Raw genomic sequence first — 25,543 nt, 5'->3', positions numbered from 1 at the left:
AGCTCACTGCAGTTTTGAGCTCCTTGGGCTCAAGCAATCCTCCAGCCTCGGCCTCCAAAAGTACTGGGATTACAGTCATGTAATCTAGGGTGCACCCAGCCAGATCAATTTTCTTTAATTTAAAATAGAACCATGTATGTATTTTTTAAAAACCACCATTGGGAACTTGAATAACATGGCCAATGTATAAAACCATATCTCTAGATTCTATTGAAATGGTTTTCCTGATTAAAATAATACAGGTAGGCGGGGCACAGTAGCTCAGGCCTGTAATCCCAGAATTTTGGAAGCCGGAGGTAGGTGGATTGCTTGAGCTCGTGAGTTAGAGACCAGCCATGGGGCAACATGGTGAAACCCCATTTCTACAAAAACACAAAAATTAGCCAGGCATGGTGGTGCATGCCTGCATGCAGTCCCAGCTACTCGGGAGGCTGAGGTGAGAGGATGGCTTGGGCCTGGGAGGCAGAGGCTGCAGTGAGCTGAGATCGTGCCACTGCACTGCTTTCTTATATACTCTTTCTAAACGTATCTTTCTCAAAGCCCCTTCCTTTTTTTGTTTCCTATTAATCCAAGTTTCAGAAGATTCCATTTTCCTGCCTTAATTTTTTGTGTAAATTATTAGTCAGAAGTCCTACAGATTCAAGCTTCCTTCTATTTCTCATGCCATAACCTTAATAAAAATCTTCATAAGGTGATACTTAAACCTCTAGCAACAAGAACAATGGCTATTCTTTGTGTCCTCAACTTCTCTCTCCAATACATACCATGCTCACTGCTAAAATTAAGATGGCTAAACACCGTCCTCACTGAGGCATTCTCCAGACACCTTTATTGCACAATCCCTAATTTTCTCCTTTACCTGGAATATGAAAACTAAGCACTTTAACCCAATATCCAAAGGTCTCCCTGTATTCCTCTAACCCATCTTTCCCATCTAACATCCCTACACCCTACTCCGTGATCTATCTATAGGCTGCCTTCACAGATTCCCCTTGCAGACCTTTCTATTTCTGCTGCTATGCTTTTGTTCCTGGTATGGCCCCCAACTTCAATGCCCTACCTTCTACCTCCTTGGACAAGTTCTATCTTTAATCAGAGTTCCAGAGGGAGATTCATCCAGTACACATTGATCTGTTTTCCGTATGTCATACTCATGAATATCACTTACTCTGGCACTGATCAAACATATTCTATTGTTAGTAGTATGTTTTGTATGCAGTGTTTGTCTTCTTTAGTATGTTACAAACCTTGAGGTATATCTTTTTTATTATTATTTTTTGTATCTCCTACAGAGGTAAGCATAATGTTATTCACATACTAGGCACCTAGTAAATGTGCTCAGTGAGCATGTGAATGAACAAATGAAGAAATAAGCTGCTAGAAAACTTTGAGAAAACATTAATATTATTTTTGTGAAACACAGTTAAGTCAAAAGCAAAAAAAAAAAAAGAAATTATTTTAAAGTTTTATACCAAGATGCTCAAGGCTTATCTTTTATCTTAAGAAACAGGCATGTAGTTCAATTCCATGAACCTTAAAATAAATATAATCTGGCCGGGTGCAGTGGCTCACTGTAATCCCAGCACTTTGGGAGGCCAAGACAGGCAGATCACCTGAGATCAGGAGTTCAAGACCAACTTGGCTAACTTGGTGAAACCCTGCCTCTACTAAAAATACAAAAATTAGCCAGGTATTGTGGCACATGCCTGTAATTCCAGCTACTTGGGAGGATAAGGCAGGAGAGTGGCTTGAACCTGGGAGGCGGAGGTTGCAGTGAGCAGATATCACACCACTGCACTGCAGCCTGGGTGACAGAGTGACACTCTGTCTCATAAATAAATAAATAAATAAAATCCGACTGGAACAACAGATGAACCATTTAAGTTAAACTCAGAATATCTAATATATTTGGATTTCAAGAAACATCTGCTTAAAATGACTTTTTTTTTCCATTTTTGGGAGCAGTCTTAAGGAAAACAAATTACTTTTTAAGTAGTTCATATTTTAGCCCCCAATTAAAATAATGACTTCTGCAGGTGGAAAAACATCAGTAGCTTTAAATACTCACCACACAGGTAGCCTGTGCAGAACTTTTATTTCAAAATTGTGTGCAGCTCAGTTCAGAAATGAAAGTAGCATGCCCAAAATACAAAAAAGCCAGTGTAACAGAATTTGTATTGTGTATTCATCATATTGGCCTGCATTTTCTCTTTTTTTTTTTTTTTTCCTTTTTTTTTTTTTTTTTAGCAGAAAGTGACTAACCACAGGCTGGAGTGCAGTGGTGCGATCTCGTCAGGCTGGAGTGCAGTGGCACGATCTTGGCTCACTGCAACCTCTGCCTCCCAAGTAGCTGGGACTACAGGCATGCACTACCATGCCCACCTAATTTTGGTATTTTTAGTAGAGACAGGGTTTCACCATGTTGGCCTGGATGGTCTCGATCTGTTGACCTAGTGATCTGCCCGCCTCAGCCTCCCAAAGTGCTGGGATTACAGGCATAAGGCACCACGCCAGGCCACATTTTCTAATAAGAAAATTATTTCACAAAATTACAGAAAGTAAATATTAGAAATAATTCTCTTAATTATAATGTTATTCAAATAAGTTTAAATTTTAAGATAAAGAAGATAAACTTTACTCTAAATTGTTGAATTATTTCTTTACAAATTATTTGCAAGATTTTCTACGTTTGTAATAGATCTTTATGTATTCTTATTTCATTAAGTTCTATGGCAATTTGAAGATTCCATTCATAATTTTAAGTTATAAGATAGTTACAATATACTTAAAACAACACATAAATCATAAAAAGAAAAAAATGGCTTTCATTAAAAAGCCATTAACAATTTACCAAAAAGTATGATTTTTACTTTTTATACATTATATCTTTTTAGTTATCCTGTTTTTCATGAATACTTGTAAAAAGAATTTTACATTGAACATCTGTATCTAATGAAAAATATATTAGGTGTCAGCTTTCAATTCTGTATATTTTATAGCTCTGAAAGGTGAGTTTTTTTTGGCAAAAACAGACTATTACATACTTTATAGTTGAAATGTACTACCTCAAATGAAGAAAAAACACAAGTCTGAGACTTTTTAAAATAACTTCATGTGTAACATATTTTCCTTCCAATGATTAAAAATTATTAAATATATACTTTATGATTACAATCAATGTATGATTGTAAGAAATCAGTTATAATCTTTATATGGGGATGATATATTATCTCATTATTACATTAATATTAATATTATCAACAGTATTTTTTTCAAAAAAATATAATATAAAAGTAGCTGAATTTATCCATGGCAAATTCTTAAGAACAGGCTGTGTAGAAATAATTACACTTTCTCAAGTAAAAGTCATACAAAGGTAAATATCTCTGTTACACAGAATCAAATCTTCTTTAGTTTAAATTGTGCACCTGGTTTAACACATCAGACTACATGTACTGGAAGCAGTGTGATTTTAGCACCAGAGAATCATTTCTTCCCTAACCTCAGCATTTCATTGTGGTTGGTGTTTGTAGGGAAAGAAAGAACAATAAATGAATACAATTAAATCATGTTAAAGTCCTGACCGGTGCTGGTCCGTAAAGACATTGGTTTGAACATTAATCTAGAGTGTCCTAGTTTAGAAGTAATAGTTTCACTTCCTAAATTTATAATTGCGATATTTGATCTTCGCATGATTAATTTAGTCAAGAATGACAACTTGCCAGTAGATCAAAATCAGGAAATTTGATTAAATATTGTGGCTAGTTGCTTTATGTTAAAACATTATAGCTCAATGGTGGGATTTCAGTTGCCTGAAATCTTTTGCCAGGCAACTATAATCAACATGCATACACATACACATCAGTGTATTCCTCCCAGAAATATGTTTGCCATAACTTTTATAAAGATTTACATATCAGCCTATAAGTGTTTTAGACTGGGGCCACCTGGAAAAAATAATCCTTTTAATCTTCCAAGTTGCTGAGAAAGAATGTTTTCTTCCCAATAAATTAGCAGTATTAAATTTCTAAAGAATTCTAATAATCATATTTAACAGTTGAGTTCTTATTATATGTCAAGTACTGTTCTAAGCATTTTACATGTATTCATGTATTGAGTCTTCTCAAGAAAACTGTGAAGTGGGTGCTATTATTATATCCATTTTACAGATAATGAAACAGATGTGTAGATTAAGTAACTTGCCTCAGGTCACCCAATTCGAGGGTAGAGGAACTTGGCTCTTTGGCAATTTAGGTTCAGAGTCCATGCTTTTAGCCACTATGCTTGACTACTTAAATGTTTGCTGAATACACAAATGACTATTTTCCATGACAGTGCATTCTCCCTCATGCCGCTGTCTTTTTCTATGTAGAAACACTACAGAAACCTCTTTGGTGGAAAAAAAAAGCTTGGGATTGAAGATTGTGGTGCTGAAAAATGAATAGCAATCCACCTTGTAGACTGGAGAATGGCTAACAATATCATTCAGGCAAGTTCTGGTATTTGGCATGATTCACTGAAGAAGAAAGTTGGTATATTTTTAATCCCTAAAGATGATCCAGATACTATCAAATTCTATTTTCATCCCCACTGTACCTCTCAGTACAAATATATTTTTCTAACTGGAGAATTCAAAGTGGTTCATATGCTCTCTTTAACCAAAATTATTCAGTATTTTGAGACAAAAGTTTCAAGTTTGTGAGGTAGGAAACAGTTCATTATATGCAAAATCCCTAGACCAGCACCTGCTTCACACTGATTTTCAAGTGTCTACCCTGCATTTATATCAAAAAAGATCAAGCTGGTTCTGCTGCACAAGTCACATACAAAATTAGGATAACTGCTCTGAAAGGCGTCAACTTGTGAACATGAAGGTGATTCTGTAAACTTTTGAACTAACGGAAGATACCATCTGTCCTAAGGAATTTTTATTGGCCATACCAAGAATGTGAGAACCCTGCAGAATAAGTATCTGGTAAAAGGGCCACAAGAAAAAAGAAAAGCAAGCTGTTCCAAACTCATTAGATAGTAGCTGTATTTGACAGCAGCAACCCTAATAAATAGGTGCTTAAATTTTTAATGCTGAAAATGTTATTTTTCAAGAATAACTAAAAAAAATGAAATGTTACATATTGCTCATATTAAGTGGAAAATAACTGCATTTTCTTTTATATGCATGTACAAAGCTCAAAGAAAGGGAAAATTACCATGACATCAACTGTCAATGCATTTTCTAAATATAAGTAAAATCAATTCAGCACAACTTGATTTTTAATATATCTGATGATTTATTCAAAGTCCCTGCATTATCCAAACACATATGCCTATATCCTAAAGATCTATAAGCTTTAAGAACAATTTTATTTCATGTTTAACAACTATAATCCTTTCTTTAAAATATGCTCTCATGTAATTTATATAGCATTAGACAAATATTAATTGAAAATAAAGGTAAGCCATCATTTTAAATTAAAAATACATGTGAAATAGACAATTTGAGAACGCTTATTTTAGTATATAATCAAATCCAAGCCAATAATATTCTTAAAAAGTCCATCAATAATTATAAAAGTAGTAGAATATGCCTAATGTATTTGAATAATGGGTGGCTGCCATAATCCAGGACTGTTAATGTAATAACATGCTGTTTGCTCATAATGACAATTAAAAATTTCCCCAAGATTTATTTATATATGCATTTCATGTTCTAATATACCCTAAGGGCATAGTTAAATAACAAATTGGCAATATTTGGTTCATGAGCAAAAATAACAAAAGATCTAAAATAAAAATGAAATGTGTATATTTAATGTACAATAGGCAACAATGGCTAAATAAACTTTTTGTAAAGAAAGACGATAAGATCTTCATGACTGTTTTGCTGTCTTTTTTGAATGTTGGTCACAAAACTGCTCCATGGTGCCAGCCATTATTCAAAAACCTAATAGGACTGCAAAGAGTATTTTCTATAAGATCAGTAGATATATCCAAGGATATGTAAATAGTCAGTGAATATTACATGATAATGTTCTCATTAATCAGTGTGTGCTACCCCCTAGAGAAATCCCAGCTACTATTAACCACTTATTCATTTTAACTAGTTAACATTACAAGATAGCTGGTATTTTATATTCTAATATATAAATTTCAGCTAGCATAAAAGTTTGCAGTTGATGCTTTAATCCTATGCCTAGGAATTTAAAATGATATTTATTATTATTAATGATTAAGTAAGTATATTTCCTGGAAATGACAGTATAATACATACAAATGTTATATGAATATGAACACTGGTTTATGAACTAACAAAATCACTTTCTTCTCTATCGAATCATTTTTATCCATCAAAATATCAGAATATAAATGGAGTATTATTTAAGGAACCATATTTTTAATAGACAGTTTATATGTAGGATCAGAAATATCTGAATTTAGAATATCATTAAAACTCCTTTTGAAAAACATAAAAGGAAAAAAATTACATTTTAGACAAGCATACTAGAAATAAGCAGCAAATTTGCACAACAGCAAATCCTAATTAAAAGCTTTAATTTAATATGTAATTTCTACCTCACCTAGGAATTCAGAGGAGATATATCAATTCCAAAGCTACTTTCAAGACTTATCATCTTTTTATGTTTTTTACGTTTTATCTCTTTCAAGTAGATAAAAAGCAAGACTTGAAAAAGAGCTGCATAATAAAAATCTACAAATATTTCTGAAGTGACAAAACAGCCAATAATAAATTATTTTAAAATTCACTTTAATTCCTCTATTTCCAAAGTATGTGAATACTAAATGTATCTAAGTGTAAGAAAAATATCTTCTAACATAACTATAAATTTATTCTTACCCTCCTTATTATCACCATTCTAGCACACAATGCATTTTTCTACCTCCAAATGTTTTACCACTTTTTAATAATCTCAAGTTATTAGTAGACTTCTCAAGTTGCCATGAGAGTAACGACTTAAAGTCTATTATCTATCTACTTTGTATGAACTGAAGTCAATTCAAAGGTCAAACTTTACTGTATCTTGAGATTCTTTTAGGATTCCTTTTCTGAGAAAATTTCATAAACCATCAATTGCATTTGTGTTATAACTACGACCATTAAAAAAGTCTTAATTTGAAAAAAAAAGTCATTCATTTATGTAAATCTTCTCCTTATTTATATATATTAATGTCTGTCTCAACTACCCCAAACTGGGTTTCAAGAGATGGATTTCCTAAAACTCAGACTTTTGGATCTGGAAAAGACATTAGAGATCATCTACTTCAACCCCTTCATTTTATGGTTGAGGACACTGAGCCCAGAAAAGATAGCTGAGTGACTTTGGGCAAGTTTCCTACCAAGTAGCAGAGCCAGAACCAGAGGCCAGGTCTCCTGACGCCCAGTTAGGAGCCAGGTCTCCTGATTTTTAATCCAAGGATCTTTCCATTACACACACTGACTCTCTATTCTTTGAGGCTGTCTTGGGCTGCTCACACTGATCAAGCTGCCTTGTAAATGACCACACTCACTAAATAAAATGCCCTTGATGACAAGTCATAGGACATTATAGCATACCTGTATAAGCAGACTATACTCTAATTAATCATACTCTTCCTCTGTTTAGAACATTTCAATGGCTTCTCATAGATCATACTGTAAATTATAAGCTCCTTAATATGATTTTCAAAGTAATACATGATCTAGCCCGAACATGTCTCATGAAACTCTCTTCCTCTTTCTTTTCTGTTGAAACTAGACTTGCTTCATTTCTTGCAATGTACCAAGCTCCTTCCTACCTCAACACATGCCCTTCCCTCCTCGCAAAGGCTCTTACCCCATGTTTGGTCTGGCTAGCTATTAATCTTCAGTTCTCAGTTTAAATATACGTTCCCATAAAGAAGATTTCCCAAGCCCTCTGATCCTTTGCCCTACTCCCACCTCAGTTTACATTTTAATTGCAACTTGTATCTTTTAGTGTTTATAACAAGTAATAGATTATATATTCAATTGCTTATTTACTGTGTTTTTTTGCTAATCTAAGCTTTGCAAGAATAGGTACTATGTTTATTCTTAATCACTATCCTCTAGTACCTAGATGACTGTCTGGAACACAATAATGACAATAGTTATTATTTACTGCTTGATTATGTGCCATACCTTCTTCTAAAGGCAATTATCTCATTCAAACCCCCAACAATTCCATAAGGTTGGTTTTATTATGGTATTTATTTTACAGATTATATAACCAAGACACAGTGCAATAAGACACTTGCCCAGTATCACATAATAAGTGGTAAAACCAAGATTTGAATTGAAAGCATTCTTATTCCAGAGTCCACTTTTTTTTACCAATGCTTATGCTGCTTCACACTCAAATGTTTGTTGAAAAAAAGAATAAATTTATGCACAAAATCAAATTAAGTTTCACTGAACTATATAAGTAGAATAATAATAACAACAATATAGTGTTTACTAGGGCCAGATACTGTTCAAAGTACTATACATATTTTAATCATTCACTGCCACAGCAGCCCTAAAAAGTAGTTACTACTATTATTACCACTGTACAGATGAGGAAAATGAGGGACAAGAGAGGTAAGTAATTTGCCCAAGATCATACTGCTAGCAAGTGGCAGAGGTAGGGTTCAAACACAGGCAGTCTATTTCCAGCGCCTGTGCTCTTAACTTTTATTTTCCACTACCATACTTGTGATTGCCTATATCTGAAAACTGATAGCTCAAATTTAATAATTAATTACTAATATGACAATCATTAGTGAACCCCAAAAAGACAGAAGAGAGAGAAAAATCCATCTGTTTAGGCTTAAATAACTCCCTTTCCTTGATGGAGATAAAAGGCACTCTGAATGAATCAATTACTGAAAGGTGTAGCCCCTTCCTTCTGGGGGAGACACTTCCATAGCACTGTGAAGGGTCTTTCTAGGGAGTGTCTTCTTCTTTTTCTGACCTATCTGTTGGTGAAGGGTACAATTTACATACCCATATTCAGTAGCCTTGGTTAGACTACAGAGTTGCCAAAATTGTGTGCACACCATGAAGAAAAAAGAAATATAGGATAAAGAAATCCTAGGATAAGGACTAAAAAATAAATAAATACAAAAGCCATGCAAAAATCCAGAGCCATGGAGAGCAAGCAAAACCCTGATAAAATGTGCTAAACTTCTGCCAAACCTTGCTAAAATTTCAGATGGACAGGGTGCACCTTACTAAGCTCTTAGTTTCATTAGCTAGAAAATGAGGATAACAACTCTTACCTTGACAGATGATTTAAATAATAAAATAGTGTTGATGAAATCTCCCCTGCAAATGATATGCTCAAATCTTATATCTTATAAAGTCTACAGGGATCTTTTTTCTCACATTTAAATTAAATTTATTCTCTATAAAAAACTTAGTGGAAATAGTGCTGCTATATATGATGATCCTTTAAACATGTGATTCTATTTTTCACATAGTTGAAATTTTATCCTGGGAATATGAAAGCACAACAGCAACAAAAGGAGAGGAATCTTTACCAGGAGGTAGCATGAGGTCAGCAAAAGTACTGTTAGACTAGACCTTAAAAACAAAAGCAAATGGAAAAGAAAAATTTTAGTTCAGGGTGGGATGACTCTAGTCAGCTCATTTGGAAAAAGAATACATGATTTTGTTCCTGAGTTTGGGTATTCAGCAGTTTTAGAAGGTGTGCTGTAAAAGTAGGGCAAAGAAATCCAGATTTAGAAGCCAGATTTTACAGACACTGTGGCCTGTGTACAATGTCAAAAGAGTAGGTCAAATTGGTCAGCTGCATGAAAGAAAAGCCAAAAATAAATCAGACCAGCATATAGATAAAATAAGCAATCTGACTGCATATTTCCACATTTGAGTGCATCATATTGGAATTACTAAGCACAGTTAATATGACAGACATTGGGAAATTCACTTAAATTTTCCACCTGCTTCAGGTTTCCCAGATGCAAATGTCAAATAATAAAAGTCTTTCTTTCCAAGGTGCTATCACATGCTTAGGTGAAGGACACTACAGGAGGAAAAATAAAACAAAAACTGTTGTCTTTGCTCACAAAATGAGATCTTATAACCTTACCTAATAGATTGGTTAACCACAAGGCCAGATCTTCTTTCATTGGTAGCAAATTAGCTTCATGTCTGCTGGCTAGCCATTGGCTATACTGATGCATATCAGAGAGGCCAGGTCCACTGCGTACCTTTGGGCTCAGAGCAGTGCACATTATTTATCCACTTGTAATACCTGTTTTGGAAACAAAAGAGCAATTGCTTTTTATACAGACTTCTCTCACAAAATGTTGTCATCATGACATTATAATGAACTGGATCCGCGGGTTTTCTGATGACAGTTCAGTTTATTAATTATTAACCCCATGAAACACTATTTGCTTTATCTGTACTGGCCCTCTCACTTTTGGCCAAACACTTAGTAGGAAAACAGCAGCAATCAAAGGTCAAATAGAAAATCAAACAAGAAACTCCAAGTTTGTATGAAACAATATACTTGGAAAGAGCCAGCTTCTAAGCAAGAAATTCCACATATTGAAACACGAGAAAAAGTTAAAATGTTAGTGCCCAATTTGTTAACTCCCATTGTTTGGGCTATTTAAAACCATAGATTTTCACCAAATTTTATGACTGAACACTGGCAATGACAGCATTTTTACAACTCACTGTAAACACATGATCATTACCCTTAAAAATATAGCCTAAAAGGTTAAGCAAAGTACTTCTTTTTTGGAGACGGCCAAGCAATCATGGACTCACAATTTAGAGAACTGGGTGAGAAGCAGGGGAAGAGGTACACCCAAAGACTCTCTACCACACTTCTCTCTTGCAGTCAAAGAAACCAAAAAAAGAAAAATAAAAAAAAAAAATAAAAAAATAGAGGATAAGTGACTTCACCAAGATCATACAGCTAGGTCATGACAGAACTAGGCTTGAACCTGAGTCTTCATATTCCCAAGACCACTACTCTTTCTGTAATGACACATTTTTACAAAATGGAATAGCCAAGAACCCATATTGATGATAACCCAAGCACTGCATCATAGTTCTAACAAATGCTGCCAGAGGTGTTTGTTTGTCCTCTGCTATTGCTACAACAATCTCTTTCTCTTTCTTGTTTTTTATCTTTCCACTTTATTTGTTTTACATGCTGCGTTTTGTTTGAAAGTATCTTTAGAGTAGAAGTACTTAAATATCTTACATCTATAAAAACAAGGATGCTTTCATTAACCTGATCATATTGTGAGCAGTGCAATCCCCTACTTGGGTTGTAGAAAAGGTATTTGAATATATATTTGGCCTTGAATATGGCATTTTTGTTTGTTTGTTTTGTATTTTTTAGTAGAGATGGGGTTTCGCCATGTTGGCCAGGCTGGTCTTTAACTCCTGACCTCAAGTGATCCACCTGCCTCGGCCTCCCAAAATGCTGGGATTACAGGCGTTGAGCCACCATGCCCGGACAGAATATAGCACTTTTGTATGCATTATTTATAGGATGTAAGACTACGGAAGAACTAATGAAGCAGTTAATGTAATAGTCATGTTTAATAACATGCAGGATTCTACGCTGTATATAAATATGCTTATGAAATAACCAGATGCATTATGACTGTATGACAATGAAAATGAAAATACTTGCAATAGGCAAGAGGTAATGTTTATATGATATCATGAGGTTTTCAGTGATATTGCAGTATTTATGGCATTTTAAAGTTACCAATAAGTAATATATTCTCCTTTTGGTTTTATTATTTGAAACTCTACACAGTATTCCTTTCCAGTTAACCTCAAACTCTAATTCACTTAACATAAGTTAATTTATTTTAAATATTGCTTTTGAAGAACAAATAAGACACTGGTGTTTAGAAAAATGCAAAGTGGGAGCATCTCTCAAATATTTTGCTGTAGTAATAGAAAAGACTGTTGGGAGTATGAGTAAGTACCTAAAAGGTATCATAAATATAGTATTTAAAAGCACAATTTCATTTCTAATTAAATTACTGTCGAGTAATTTTTGAAAAAAATACCATAAATTTTCTCTGAAAACATCTTATATATATCTATCTAAAGTCAACCATTGAAAATGTGAACTGCTTTCAATACACCTTGTCATACATTATTAGATTGTCATTATGGGAATCAGAACACCACTTTTTATTATTTCATAGTTAATAATGATGTTATCCATATAAAGTCCTAAAGTTTTCTCCAAATTCTGTGATTAAACATGAAAAACCCAAAGCATTTTCTGCCCCAGTTAAAAAAAAAATATGTCTAGTCCTAGAAAAACAAAACTTCTCCCTGTAGCTGGTTAAGATTCCTATATGCCTGCTGGCCTCAGAAACATTTAAGTAATACATATAAGCACATGATTCATATACTTAAATAACTAATTGAAATCTTAAAAGGGTTACCTCTAAAATGCCTGTCTTCTCAAGACACAATCTCTTCCACTACTTTCCTGAAAGTGAGATGTGGCTGTTCAGTAACTTTACCTACACCCTATTATGTGCTCTGTGACTTCCATTTAAGCATCAGAGTCCTATTTTGCTCTATAAAAGCAAGAAGACACCTCAGATTCTTAAGCTCATTGTCCAGCAAATAATTTATCAAGGGATAGTTTACAGTAAGCCTAATGGCATGTAACAATTTCAATGAGCCAGAAGGACACAATCCTTTCCCTCAAAACCTCTAAACAGTGAAGTTTTTATTTTCTTTGACAGTGGCACATTTATTTCTCATGTACTCTGTCCTGTGTTTTGCCAGAAAAGTAACTCAAACTACCTTCTAATAATTAGAGATGAACATTAAGTAAAAACAATAAGAATAATTAAGCAATTTTTATTTTGTTACTTTGTATACAGTCAAAATTTTAGTGGTGAGAAAAAAGCAAAAACACAGTTACATTTCCCCAGGAGACAGAGGTGAGAGAAAGAAGGCTTAGTGAGTAATTAACATGCAATAGAAGTTACACAATTAGACATATGTCAAATATGTAGAAACCTAAAGTCACTGTCATAGATAAGGACTCTTCTGTTTAAGCCCCTTCTTAAAAGAATTCAGATTCTCAATCCAATTTCTCATGATCCTTTTTTTCACATTTCAAATCACTGCCAAACTTAAATGACTCAACGGTTTGGCTGAAAGTCAATACCTGCAGGTCTTGGATTTAGATTTGGCTAATCCATGAATACGAAACATGAAAAATGGATTCAGCTAGCATGATCAAAATTTGGAGTATGGAGAATTTACCCCATGGTGAAGTAGTTTCCAACTAAAATGATTATATTGTGGTGAAGAAAGATCAAATTAATTTATCTTATTCCCATAAAAAGATCACTATGGAATTTTACCCTCCTTGTAACTTTTTAAAGAAGTGTTTAGTCAATATGGATCAGATGAATTACATCGTAAAGAACAAGCTACACAAAAAGATCATTTCAGTTCTCTTGAATTCATTCAAAAGTGTTCAAAACCACAAGAGATGCCAAGGGGTAACTTTTTAAAAAGGTGGGAAATAAAGTGACTGATGATCCACTAGACTTGAAGAAAGCAGTAGGTTAGGGAGAAAGAAAAACTTTTTTGTATAATGTGCCTAAACACTGAATGATGTTTCCAATAAAGTGTATATAGTCCAAGTATTTTAAAAGCTTGATAAGTAACTTTAGTAACTATTAAACAAAGCCAATCACTTTTAAAAGGGGAGTAAGTACTCAAATACTTCTATGGCTCCTCCAAGCTTTCTCGGTCTACCTAAAATGGATAACCAACCCTTAGGTCTAGGAATCCAGAAAAATAAAACTTCAAGAGAAAAACATGCAGAAACTTAATACTAAATCCTTCAAAGACTGTGTGTGTATATATTTTTTCTTTCTTTCCATAGTAGAAGTGATTCTGGAATAACAATTATGAATATGATGAGACTTGAAATAGCCCAGGAGAAAAAGAAAAAAATAATGACTTTGTAAGTAAAATATCACATGTTTAAAGACTCTGTCTAGTTTGTTGTCCCAGAATCCCAGCTGAAGACATCATAGTTTTGACTCTGAAGAAAAAGTATTCTTCCATGCCACCTAGAGGTGTTCTTTGACTATGACCAAGATGATTTCTGGCTTATCTCTAGGCTTTGCTGACATGTTAGAGAAAATGCATTGCAACATTACATAGAAAAGCAACTGGAAAGACAAAAAACATGAAATGATATACACTTCTGTCGGCTATGAGATTTCACTTAGAAGCCTGAATAATGGATAGAATATTGGAACTGGAATCAGAAGTCCAGGGTCAAATAATAGGTCCACTACCTAACCATTTAGTAGCTACTCTATTCTAGTCATATGAATTTTCCTCTTTGTACCTGTGTTTTCTACTATATACAACGGAGGCTGAAAACTTAAAGATAATTGTGAGGATTAAATATTTGTGCCAATGCTTGGCATATATTTAATATTCGATATGTTTTTTATTAGCAAAATAGAAATGATCACCATCAGAAATGTGCCAAAATAAAACTTCTATTGACCTATCCCAAAACGGAAAGCAATTCTGTGACAAAATAGGAATATTTTATAGAACTCTAAATAATTAAGAAAAGACAAAGGACAACGGGGAGAACAAATAAATGTATTAATGATACAGTAGATAATGGATTATTCCAAGTTTTCTTCATATGGAGAAGAATGCTGCCCCTAAGATGATGATTAATCAGTTAATAGGGAAATGCTATATACCTCTCAAAGTAAGTGTGAGAGGACATCACTACCACCACCCCATCTACACACACAGACTCAACTGTGAACATTGAAAACAATGAATCCTAATCAACCCACAGTCAAAGGTCTCCTCCCTAAAGGTAATCTTTGCTGTCATCTGCAGCATTGTTCCCCACATCTATTCAGTTTCATGTGTTACAGGTGTCAAACACTGAGGAAATAGTTTATTGGTCAATCACGTTACCTTTTAAAATTAAAAATAAACAGTGCTCCAAATCGAATACCCTTCCAAAATCTGGAAAGAGAAAATGCCATTTTCCTAGCTGAACTCAAAGAATAAACCACCCAGGAAAGTTCTAGATATCTCTTTCATCATTGTGAGTTCTTCACTCTTTTGTGATTCATTTTGGCTAATTAATAGTATCTCACAAAATATACATTTTCAACCAATGTCATGGATACAAAATCTTACTCTAAAGGTCTAATCAGAAAATAAAGTCCACAATTTCAACAGAAAGGCAATTTCAGACCTCGTAATGGGACCTCCACCTTGGGTTCAGTAGAGCAACTTATCCACAAATTGAAAAGCACCAAACATAAAGCAAAATGACACTTAATGGTAGTTTATCTAATTCCATAATAAAAATCTTTAAATTGAAAGGAACCTTACAATAACGATATATTCAAACTCCTCGTAATTAATAAGGGGTTGGTAGCCTAAGAGGATATTTTGCCCACAGTAACAAGACTGTTTAGTCATAATTATTAAAAGTATCCTACTCAGCTCTTGTGATCCTTAATTTAGTGTAGTGCTGACTCTCTTTTAGAGATCTCTTTCTTATCCCACAGTCCCATCTTGATTTGTCTTGGGTGAAATGATGGTGTAGTTACAAATAACAATTTCTTCTCAAATCATGATTTAAAAAAACCTGAATGGGAATTGATTTTCTATATTTTCATGTTGTTAGGGATATTTTAAAGTTTTAAAGAAATCATACTAAAACATCCTTCCAAACAATTTAGCATAGGTTTTTTTAACCCCTACCAGATTAGCTTGGAACATAATTAAAATAGAAAACCATCTGACAGTCTAATGACAGTCTAATGACTATTGTTAACAATATTAACAACTAGAATATTTAAGGATTTACATCAAAATTTTATCTAAGTTGAGAAAATTCTTTTCTGTTGTTTTAATATAAAGATTTCTGTTTTAGTTAACTATAATGTAGTTAAGAACCAGCAGGGTTCTACATTCTGTGGAAATATATACACATATGTGACATGGTCTCACATAAAGGAGTAAAATTAGCAAAGTTTTAATTGTATTGATGCTGAAAACATTTAATACAGAAACTTACATAAGCCTCTTACTTAATTTTGACAGCAGATTATTTTCTACTGTTACTCCAGTTCATTTCTCTAGTCAAAAAACATTGAGTGGAAACCTTCCTAGTTGCTCAGGTTTAAAGAAACAGTTGGATCCTGTTTGGACCTTAATATCAAAACCACAAAGATACCAAACCAACCTTACAACATGCCCTGCAGTTTTAAACAAAAGTCTCTCTGTAAACAGTTACAGCCTCATCATGCCTTCTCAACCAAGGTAACTTAGTTTTCCAAAGTTTCCCTGAGTCTTCAATGCAGACTTCCAGTCTTGAAGTAAGATTTCTAAGTAACACACAACATACTTAGGGTTAATATAAGACCAGGTATTTCACCATACTCGAAAGTTTGAGGTTTAACTGAAGTTTCTAACCAAGATGCTAAAAAATTCCAGGGCAATCACATGACCTTTTGCACCTGGTGAAATATTTTTTTGCCATGTGAACTTATTTCCCAGTAAAGCACAGTCCATAACACCACAGCATAGTGTTTAGCAATAAAGTAATGAAATAAACCCAAACTTCAGTAGCATTCAGGCTGAAATCCAAGCTACCTTTTCCATGTAAGGGACCATTCAGGCAGCCCTGTGCAAAGTCTCCAATGTGCTTTGCAAAGGCACACTGTCCCATGCCTCATCCATCTGTCCCTTACCTTCTCTTAGGCAGTCAAAACCCAGACACCCATGTTGGAGAGAACCACCAGAGCCACCACCTTCACCGCAGTTAGAGGAAAGCATTCCTTGAGAAGGAGTTCATTGATCAATATCAAAGACAGGCTGGGCAAATCAGACCCCAGCTGCAGTTAATCAGTGTCCACACTGCTAAGAGTTTGGAGTAAAGAAGCACAGGTCTTGTTCTCTGCCTTGCCTCTGTGAATCTCAGGGGATACGTGGGGAGGAAAAGTGGACTTCCTCTGCCAGGCTGGTACATCCAAACTGTCTAAGCCTTTATTTTAATACTAGGATGTCAAATGGGTGTTCCTGTGCACAAGCAGATCTTATTTCCTTGGCATAAGATCTCTCATACACAACTGATCTAACCTTGTTGGAGAGGGTTGGAGGAGATAATTTTATAAGAATAAAGTTTTGCAAACTCTTCACTGTAAGAAGATCACGGAGGTGAGAGGATGAAGATGAAGAAGATGGAGAGGGTAAAGACTGTGATTTCAAAAAGGTTAACTGGGAAAAGAATTAACAACCCTCCCCCAACCTCAATTGTTTTTAGAATGTAGAAACAGAATCTGTTAACCCTCGCTTTTGCTCCCTCTTCATTCAAGACAATGGAAACTTCTTCGGATACCTGGGCTAAGTTAATGGTAATTTACCATACTGAGTTGACAGAATTTAATTTTGCCAGTATAAATAATGTCTCCAAAGCAAAATTGCCTCCTTTGTTCCCCAAACAATTTCAGATTCCAGTCTCAACTTTGGACTGAACAAAAAGAACGATACCACGCAAAATCTCCCCAAAGTGTGTTGATATATATCGGCTAGCGTTTGTTTATTCACATAAAACTCAATTTCATCAAACTCATCAGACACAGTGAGTATCACCCCAGATCACACATGTGGCGCTCTTTCCTCCCATCCTGGCCTCAACGACTCAAGTAAAACATTCAGGATCAGCCCTTTAAGACCATTCTGGCTCTATCCCACCCCACCATAACAGACAATGCTGAGCATGCATTACAGATACTCTTGTGCACGAATGCATATGTGTGCATTTATAATCGATGTGTTCATTAAAAATCCTCACTCTGTCCCTGGTTGGCAGAGCCACCCCAGCGGGCTTACGTGCTGCGGTTGTCCGGGGTGTTCCGCAATAGGGATAAGGAACACATGGTTGTTTCCAGAGAATCAGAAAGTCACCCCCTGCAGTGAATACCCACTCTTAGAGAAAGAGCCTGTCCAACTGTCCGCGGCTCTTCACTCTTCCCCGCCTCGTTCCTGAGGTTATTTTTTAATGACCTCTCCCCTCCCCCGCCGCCCCGGGTGCAGTAGACAGGCAGGGGCTCCCGTGAGCCCCGGCTGCGGTGCGCGCACGCTGCGGCGGCGTTGGCGCAGAACTGGGCCAGCCAGTCGTGCTCACCCCCGCGTCCCGAGCTGGGCTGCTGGCGGCTCTCAGAGGCGCTTGGGCTCCGGGCTGGGCTCCTGCAGCTTCTCGGGGCCGGCCCCCTCCAGGCACAGGTCCTGCAGCAGCCGCTCCCCGCACCCCACCAGCCTGGCGGCAGCGGCAGCAGCTACAGCCGCACTACCCCTCTTCATACTTCTCTGATGGCTCCTTTTAGTGCTGTTTGGGAAAACGATTTTTTCTCCCTGCCAGAAACAGATTTCCTACATTTCATCAGTCCTCATAGACCGAGCGGAAGTAAAATGCTTACTTTTTTTGGTGGACGCAAATGCAGTTGACACTGATTTACCCTTCAAACGGGGAGAGATTGTATTACAAGCCCTTGGCAGCAATTCCGAGGTTGGGGCCAAGCTCCAGCCCCCTCCTTGTCCCCCAGACACTAACCTAAGAGAGAAAAGGTGGGGGCTGGGGAGGGGATCATATTTAACTCTAGAGGTTTAACAGAGTCAATAGCTTTAGCACAATATTAAAATTGGGTGTTGGAAAAGTTTTTGCTTTCCTGGCCAGTGATTTTGCAGACGGAGGCACGAGCTTTCCAGTAACTTCGGCCACTCTTCATTCCAAATTGAACATTTTGATGTCTTACAATTCTCTTTAAATATCAGATTTTTAGAAGAGGCTGTACTCACGGCTGTTTTTGCTTTACCAAAGGAAATACAATTCCACCCTTCCTTCTTTCAGCCTCAGCTCAGCATTATGTTGAATGTCAGAGACAATTGTCTCCAACTGTTGTTTATTAGTACGTGTATTCTGAGATGAAACGTCTTCCATGAAGTGGACAGATGTTCAAGTGTCTGATTCACCTCTAATGCGCGGGGACCGCTTGCTGAGTGTGCTGATCCCCACAGGTTACCACCTCCCATGGAGCATAAATAAAATGTATTACACTTTTTATTTTGTTTTGTTCTCATGTTCATCAGTTTCATGTATATTGCCATCCAATGTTTACAATGGCAGTGGTACAGGTATTGTGATCCTTGCTTGGATACCATTTTTATAATGATGAGTTACCTAGCCCCACTCCCAAATAGAAACTACCTGTACATCCACAAGCTAAATGATGTGGATGATTTTAGATATAATTTAAAAAATATTCACATTTCACCTTTATTATTGCCATTATCTGGCAGAAACTGCATCAGTTATTTGCTTCTAGTGGCAATACATTTAATAAAGAAGAAGAGAAAACCGATTGAAAAGTTTGGAGTCCTTGAACTCCGAACTTTTTATTTTAGTTCAATTTGCTTTTGCAGCTATCAGGTCCACATTTCCTCCTTAGCTTTCTAAAAGAAGGGAAAAATAGTTATTCTTAATTTTAAGGAGAAACAGCATTTTTAAAAGGTCAACATAACAGCTTGGATAAACATAAATAACAACAAAACATACAGAACTCATTACTGATGAGTTTTAGTAAACGAATCTGAATGATAAAATTTCTTAAAATGTGATCAGATCTGAGTATTCCTAGAGCCCCAACAAAGAATTTTGAGTGTCTGAACACATACAATTTAGTAAAAAATCAAATGTTCTTGATAATTTTTCCTGATCAAAACATCATCAGCCAATAAATGCTAATTTAAGAATTATCCAAATATGTAATGAGTTCAAAAAATTTAGCACCTTGAACTTTCAAAATCTTACATCCTATTTCTCCCCAGATATGAATATTCTTGTCACATTGTTCATTATTGGTGTTATAAAAAGCTAAGAGTAAGGCAATGTTTTTGTTGATTCAGGAACAATGCTAAATACAGTTTGGGGAAAAAAAGGAGGCTTACAGAGGAATTGGGAAAGCATAATCATTCAAAATTACTCCCTCTCCATGCTCATTTCTTCCAGGTATTTTTTTTTTTGTCTTAAATTTTGCATTATGTCAGATCCTCTGTCTCTCAGAAAGAGCGAAAAGAAAAATACGAGAAGAAATAAATAATGTGTTTTTTCTTTCATTAACATCTAAGAGTTGTACTGAATATTTTTTTTGGTGACAAAAGAGAAGTAATACAAAAGATTTCTGAAGAGACACGGATACAGTGTTTTTATTTTAATTTTTTTAGCATATGTAAAAATTCCCATTTGATTTTTATCTTGTTTTTCAAAATCAATATTTCTATTTATATATTCTGATCACTCACTGATATATTTGTCAAAGATAATCTTTTGTCTAAGTATTTTCTTAGTTTAGTGTGGACTCAACCCAAACTGTTCACCTTAGGAAAATGTAGTCCAACTGAAGCAACTATAGCTTCTCTAATGTGAATGCAAAGGAAGCAAATACTTCAATAAGATGAAAAATGTTTAAATACATCCTTGAAACTTAACACCATTAAAAAGAAGTCAAGCCAGATTTAAACAGTTTAGTTTTTATTTTCAAGTGATCACAGTTAGAGGACTTTAACACGGGAAATTTCTGCATTACTATGTGTGTCCCACATTCTAAACTTTCAACATTGTCTCAAACATGAATTTTCTCATTTCTCTAATAAATACTTTTTTGAGTTTAAAAATGATCAATAAAACACGTTATTTTTCCCTCCTATGTAGATAACTCTCCTTTTCTCTCTTAGTCCTTCTCCCAAATGAAAATAATATATGTAGTACTCACTCTGAAAAGTGAAGCAAACCTTCAATAAATGATTGAGGTTAGAGGACACTTTGAGAAAAAATTAAATAACACGGAAACAGCCACTGGGTTAAATTTGGTAAAATAAATTTCCAGAAGTGACCAAGAAAGACTTATATTCCTAAACAGCTTCAAAGGAGCAGTTAAAAATGACAAAAGACAGCTTGGGAAGCAAGTGAGAATAATGATACAGAAAGCAGTATGAAGACATGCAATGGTATTAAAAAATACATGAAGACATATATTTAATAATAACTTAAATCATTTACTTACATTTTGTTGACATACTTCCTCAGTGAGGTCAAATATGTTTATTTTTCCCAACCTAGCATCTTAGTCTATAATATAAGGCCTTCAATTGACATATTTTGAATTATAGTTTTTTAATGTCATAAGGCAAAGAGAATAAATTTTATAAATCCTAGCATAGTCATTACAAATAGTGTTACGAATAAAAACAGACTGTTTCTGAAATTTTAAACGATAAATGCTATTACTTTTCACCACCATTCATATATAAAACTACAAGGATAAATCAAAGAAATTTCATATGTAAAGTTCAAGGTTTACTCTCCATCTAATATGCAATTTAAAAAATCTATTACTTTACTCTCAGTGGAGAACTTTAAACTTTTTAAGTACAACACAACAGTAGCATAAATATTAATTCCCTCCTGTGCAAGACTCATTTTTTTCTGGCAAATTGTGTTAGGTATAAGCATATGTTTTCTAATTTTTACATAAGAAATAGATTAAAAATCATTTTGTGAAATATGCCATTTGTCTTATCTACTTTTATTCATTTATTTTTTATTTTTTTATTTTTTTTTTTGAGAAGGGCTATTGCAGTGGCGTTGCCATGGCTTACTGCAGCCTTGACCTTCAGGCTCTAGCTATCCTCCCATCTCAGTGTCACGGTAGGTGGGACCACAAGTGAGCACCACTGATATGGTTTGGCTCTATGTCCCCATTCAAATTTCATCTAGAATTGTAATCCCCAAATGTTGAGAGAGGGACCTGGTGGGAGGTGACTGGATCATGGGGTCCGTTTCCCGCATGCTGTTCTCATGATAGTGAGGGAGTTCTCACAAGACCTAATGGTTTTAAAAGGGTGGCACTTCCCCTCTCTCTTTCTCTCTCTCCTGCTGCCATGTAAGACATGCCGTGCTGCCCCTTTGCCTTTCCCCATGATTGTAAGTTTCCTGAGGCCTCCCCAGCCATGCAGAACTGTGAGTCAATTAAACCTCTTTTCTTTATAAATGACCCAGTCTCAGGTAGTTCTTTATAGCACAGTGAAAACAGACTAACACAGCCACCAACTGTGGCTAATTTTTTATTTTTATTTTTTTTTTTTTTGCAGAGACACGGTCCCACTATGTTGCCCAGGGACACAGTCCCACTATGTTGCCCAGGCTAGTCTCAAACTCCTGGCCTCACATGATGCCCTACCCCAACCCTCCAAAGTTTCTGGGTTAGAGGCATGAGCCACCACACCCTGCCTCATCTAGTTTTAAATATCCTATGCAGTACCTTCTGTGGTGTGACGTCTGTTGTCTAAGTTGAAGGTGTTTTTTTTTTAAGTTTTCTTTCTTTCTTTATCTTGTAGTTTGCTTCTAAATCTTAAAAAAGTCTATGTCATGTTACTTTAATCACAAGTACCTCAAGTATAATATAAATGTTTAATGTAAAATATGTTTATTTCAACAACCTTTCTTGTCTTTTCCACCACTACATCTCTGGCATGTAGAATATCATTAGACATATAGTAGACACTCAATAATTGTTGAAAGAAATGAATGATTATTTTAGAAGCTGGTGTCTTAGAAAATATACAACTAATTGGTTATATCTTTATATATTGTCTCTAATTTAATAGTTTAGAATCCAGAATAGAAAAGCAATGTTAAAATAACATTACAAATGATAGTTTCACTCCCAAGCTAGCAGCATTTCATCTGGTAAAATGTAACTAGAGTTCACTAAAACAGATGCTTGCCTGTGTGCCAGGCTTATAAATGAGGTCAGTCTGTGTCACTTGTCACTTCATTAAAAACCTAGGTTCATTTGGACTCAAGGTTTAATCATAGCCAATATAACAAGAGTGCAATGAAAAGCAATAGAAAATATTACTACTGCAGTGGCTTTCAAATTTTTATTGTGACCCACAATATGAAATACATTATGGAACAGACACATAGAACACTTAGACACAAATAAACTAAGTATGTTTCACAAAAACATTACGTACTTTACTATTATATTGCACTCTGATATTTTTCTACTTGACATTATTATAGTCTCTTCTATGCTATTCAATTTTAAAGAAATGCTATTAGAGAGCTGCTAAATTTGTTTTATGACCTACAGTTTTAAAAAAATCTGACTGTAAAGAAACTAAACTAAGGGGAAAATCAATAAAAAGTGAGGTAAGGTCTCAATTAACAGATGGTTTCATTACAAAGTATGAAACAGATATGTTTATATATTGTTATTGGTAGACTTGATGCAATGTAATGTCACAACATCCCAAACATCTTATACCGTTACACCTCCATGCCTTTCCTCATGCTAACCAAAATGATCTTTTACCTTCACTGTCTCCCTCTGAAGAAATCTGATTCACTCTTCTAGGGAAAGCTTAATTGTCACCTTCTTTGTGGTTCTCTTGATCTCTCTGGTAGAGATATTTTTTGTGACTCTATGTCCAGTGCTCTGAGCACTTTGCTATTTCTTTTATTTCTCACTTATAATGTAGTATCACAGTTATTTGTTTATGCATCTATCTCACTTACCAAATTGTGAGTCCTAGAGAGTAGGGACTAGACTATTCATCCTTATATTTCAAATCTTTATCACAATACCAAGCCTAAGGTTGCCAAATAATTGAGTAAATAAATAAATAAATAAATAAATCATAAAACCACTGCATATCCAAGGGAGGAAAAAGTGGGTGCCATTGGGTGATAGACGGGATTCAGCAAGAACTGTGCTCATCAAAGGAAAATTAAATGGAGATCCCTCTGTAAAGACAATACCAGTTATTAATTTTGCATCTTTATTACTAGCACAATTTACTTATAAGTGAGATTTTAGTATCACATTTCTTGGGATTCTCTTGCAGTTAGATATTGCTCCAGTTATTCATTGATTTTTAAGTACACTAATAATTTCAAATTTAGGATTACTTTGTTGAAGAATGAGAGGTTTGCTGAAACTTCCATTATTGTAACTATAACACAGTTCACAAATACGGAATATTTTCCAACTGTTGATTTATACAAAGCACTTAAAGATATGACACTTAAAATGATCTCATTAAAGCATTTTGGTAGTTCCAAATAATGGATCAGGAAGCATCCTATAAAAGGGCAGTACTCCAAGCCCAAAGTGAGAGAACTGCCTGGGAATAGGGTCAGTGTCAGTGGGGCTTTTCTTAGCATAAAGGAATATTGCCATTCTGCTATGATCACAGTAGTCACTTAGTCTCTAGAGTCATTTGCAAAGAAGTTTCGCCAGCCATCATCCCCACAGAGGCTGTCAAGGAATAGGCATAGTAAATTTGTAATATCGTAGTCACTACATTTAGCAGAGTAATCTGGAGTCCAGATTTGGTCACAGACGAAATCAGGCAGGGTCCACTTCCAGCTTCTTTGCTTGTTTGCTAAAAGTTACAGGCAAATTATTTTACCTTTCAACTATCAGTTTTCACATCTGTAAAGTGGGATTAACAAATACCACTCTCTCATAGGCATGTCTTGAGAGTTATATAAGTTAATACATGTAAAATAGTTTACTGTTTGGCATATAGCAAGTTTTAAATGAATGTTAGGTATGTTATTGTTAAGTGAGTACCTAAATATTCTTATTGACTCATTACAACAATTCCCTAAGATAAAGATATTAGCAGCATTAAAAATACAAACGTTCAGAGAATCTTATACATCCCTTCTCTGAGTCTTCCCCTCCTCGCTTCCTAACATTCCATTTTACTCTCTTTAGACATCCAGTGGCTTCATGGTTTGTTGGGTCACTCATTCATTTATTCTCCAACCTCTTCTGTGTTAGGCACTTGTATCAAAATGAAGTCACATTCCCTGCTTTCCGGGAGCTCATTCCAATAGCAAAAATGGTTTTTAAAAAGCTTACCTAATGACACACATCTATTAAGCAGCATAGGTAAGATTTAAACTCATGCCTGAGTCTGACTGATTTGAACATATGCTCATTTCCCAACACAAATGGGAAGCAACTTCAAGCAACTTATTTGAAGCAACAGAGCTTTCCTTTCCTTCCCTTCCCTCCTTCTTCCCTCCCTCCCTCCCTTCCTCCCTCCCTTCCTCCCTCCCTTCCTTCCTTCCTCCCTCCATTTTTTCCTTTCTCTCTTCTCTCTTTTCCTTCCTTTCTTCCTTCTATCCTTGCTTTTTTCTTTCTTTATAAGGAGGTGTCAGGAGTCTATATATCATTTTTAAAAATGTCTTAGATAAAAACTAGAAAGATTTTATATTTAAAAGTTAAAATGTGATAATAAAATTATTTGAGAAAAAAAATCATTTTTGAAAAGAAATAAGTTTCTGTCAGGTATCCTAATTCCAAGCCAGATGAGCTGCCCCATGTGGTGAAGATTCCACATCACAGAGAATTAAGTCAAATACCTCACAGAAGTATG

General features: G+C 35.2%; 1 protein-coding gene across 19 annotated transcripts in view, besides 1 other annotated feature; it reads right to left on the bottom strand.

Moving 5' to 3' along the window:
- Nucleotides 1-25,543, bottom strand: part of GAS2 (growth arrest specific 2) — a 187,054-nt gene that overhangs the window by 127,941 nt on the left and 33,570 nt on the right. For 5 of the 19 annotated variants that reach the window (XM_011519971.4, NM_001351224.3, NM_001143830.3 and 2 more), the window contains exons 1-2: nt 18,216-18,504; nt 10,101-10,265 (exon numbers count right to left, since the gene is read on the bottom strand). In XM_011519971.4, coding sequence (XP_011518273.1) covers nt 10,101-10,245 — 145 coding nt within the window. In that variant the 5' untranslated portion in view covers nt 10,246-10,265; nt 18,216-18,504. The other 14 variants (NR_147085.2, XM_047426744.1, NM_001391934.1 and 11 more) reach the window with 9 other exon arrangements.
- Nucleotides 18,265-18,424: a silencer, noted in NCBI's record as "silent region_3206". NCBI's record gives its function as "represses an Ori minimal core promoter by ATAC-STARR-seq in GM12878 lymphoblastoid cells {active_cell/tissue: GM12878}" and the evidence as "EXISTENCE:reporter gene assay evidence [ECO:0000049][PMID:35858748]".

This window comes from Homo sapiens, chromosome 11 (assembly GCF_000001405.40).
Source record: "Homo sapiens chromosome 11, GRCh38.p14 Primary Assembly".
Lineage (NCBI taxonomy): Eukaryota > Metazoa > Chordata > Mammalia > Primates > Hominidae > Homo > Homo sapiens.
This window is presented reverse-complemented; position numbering and strand designations above follow the sequence as displayed.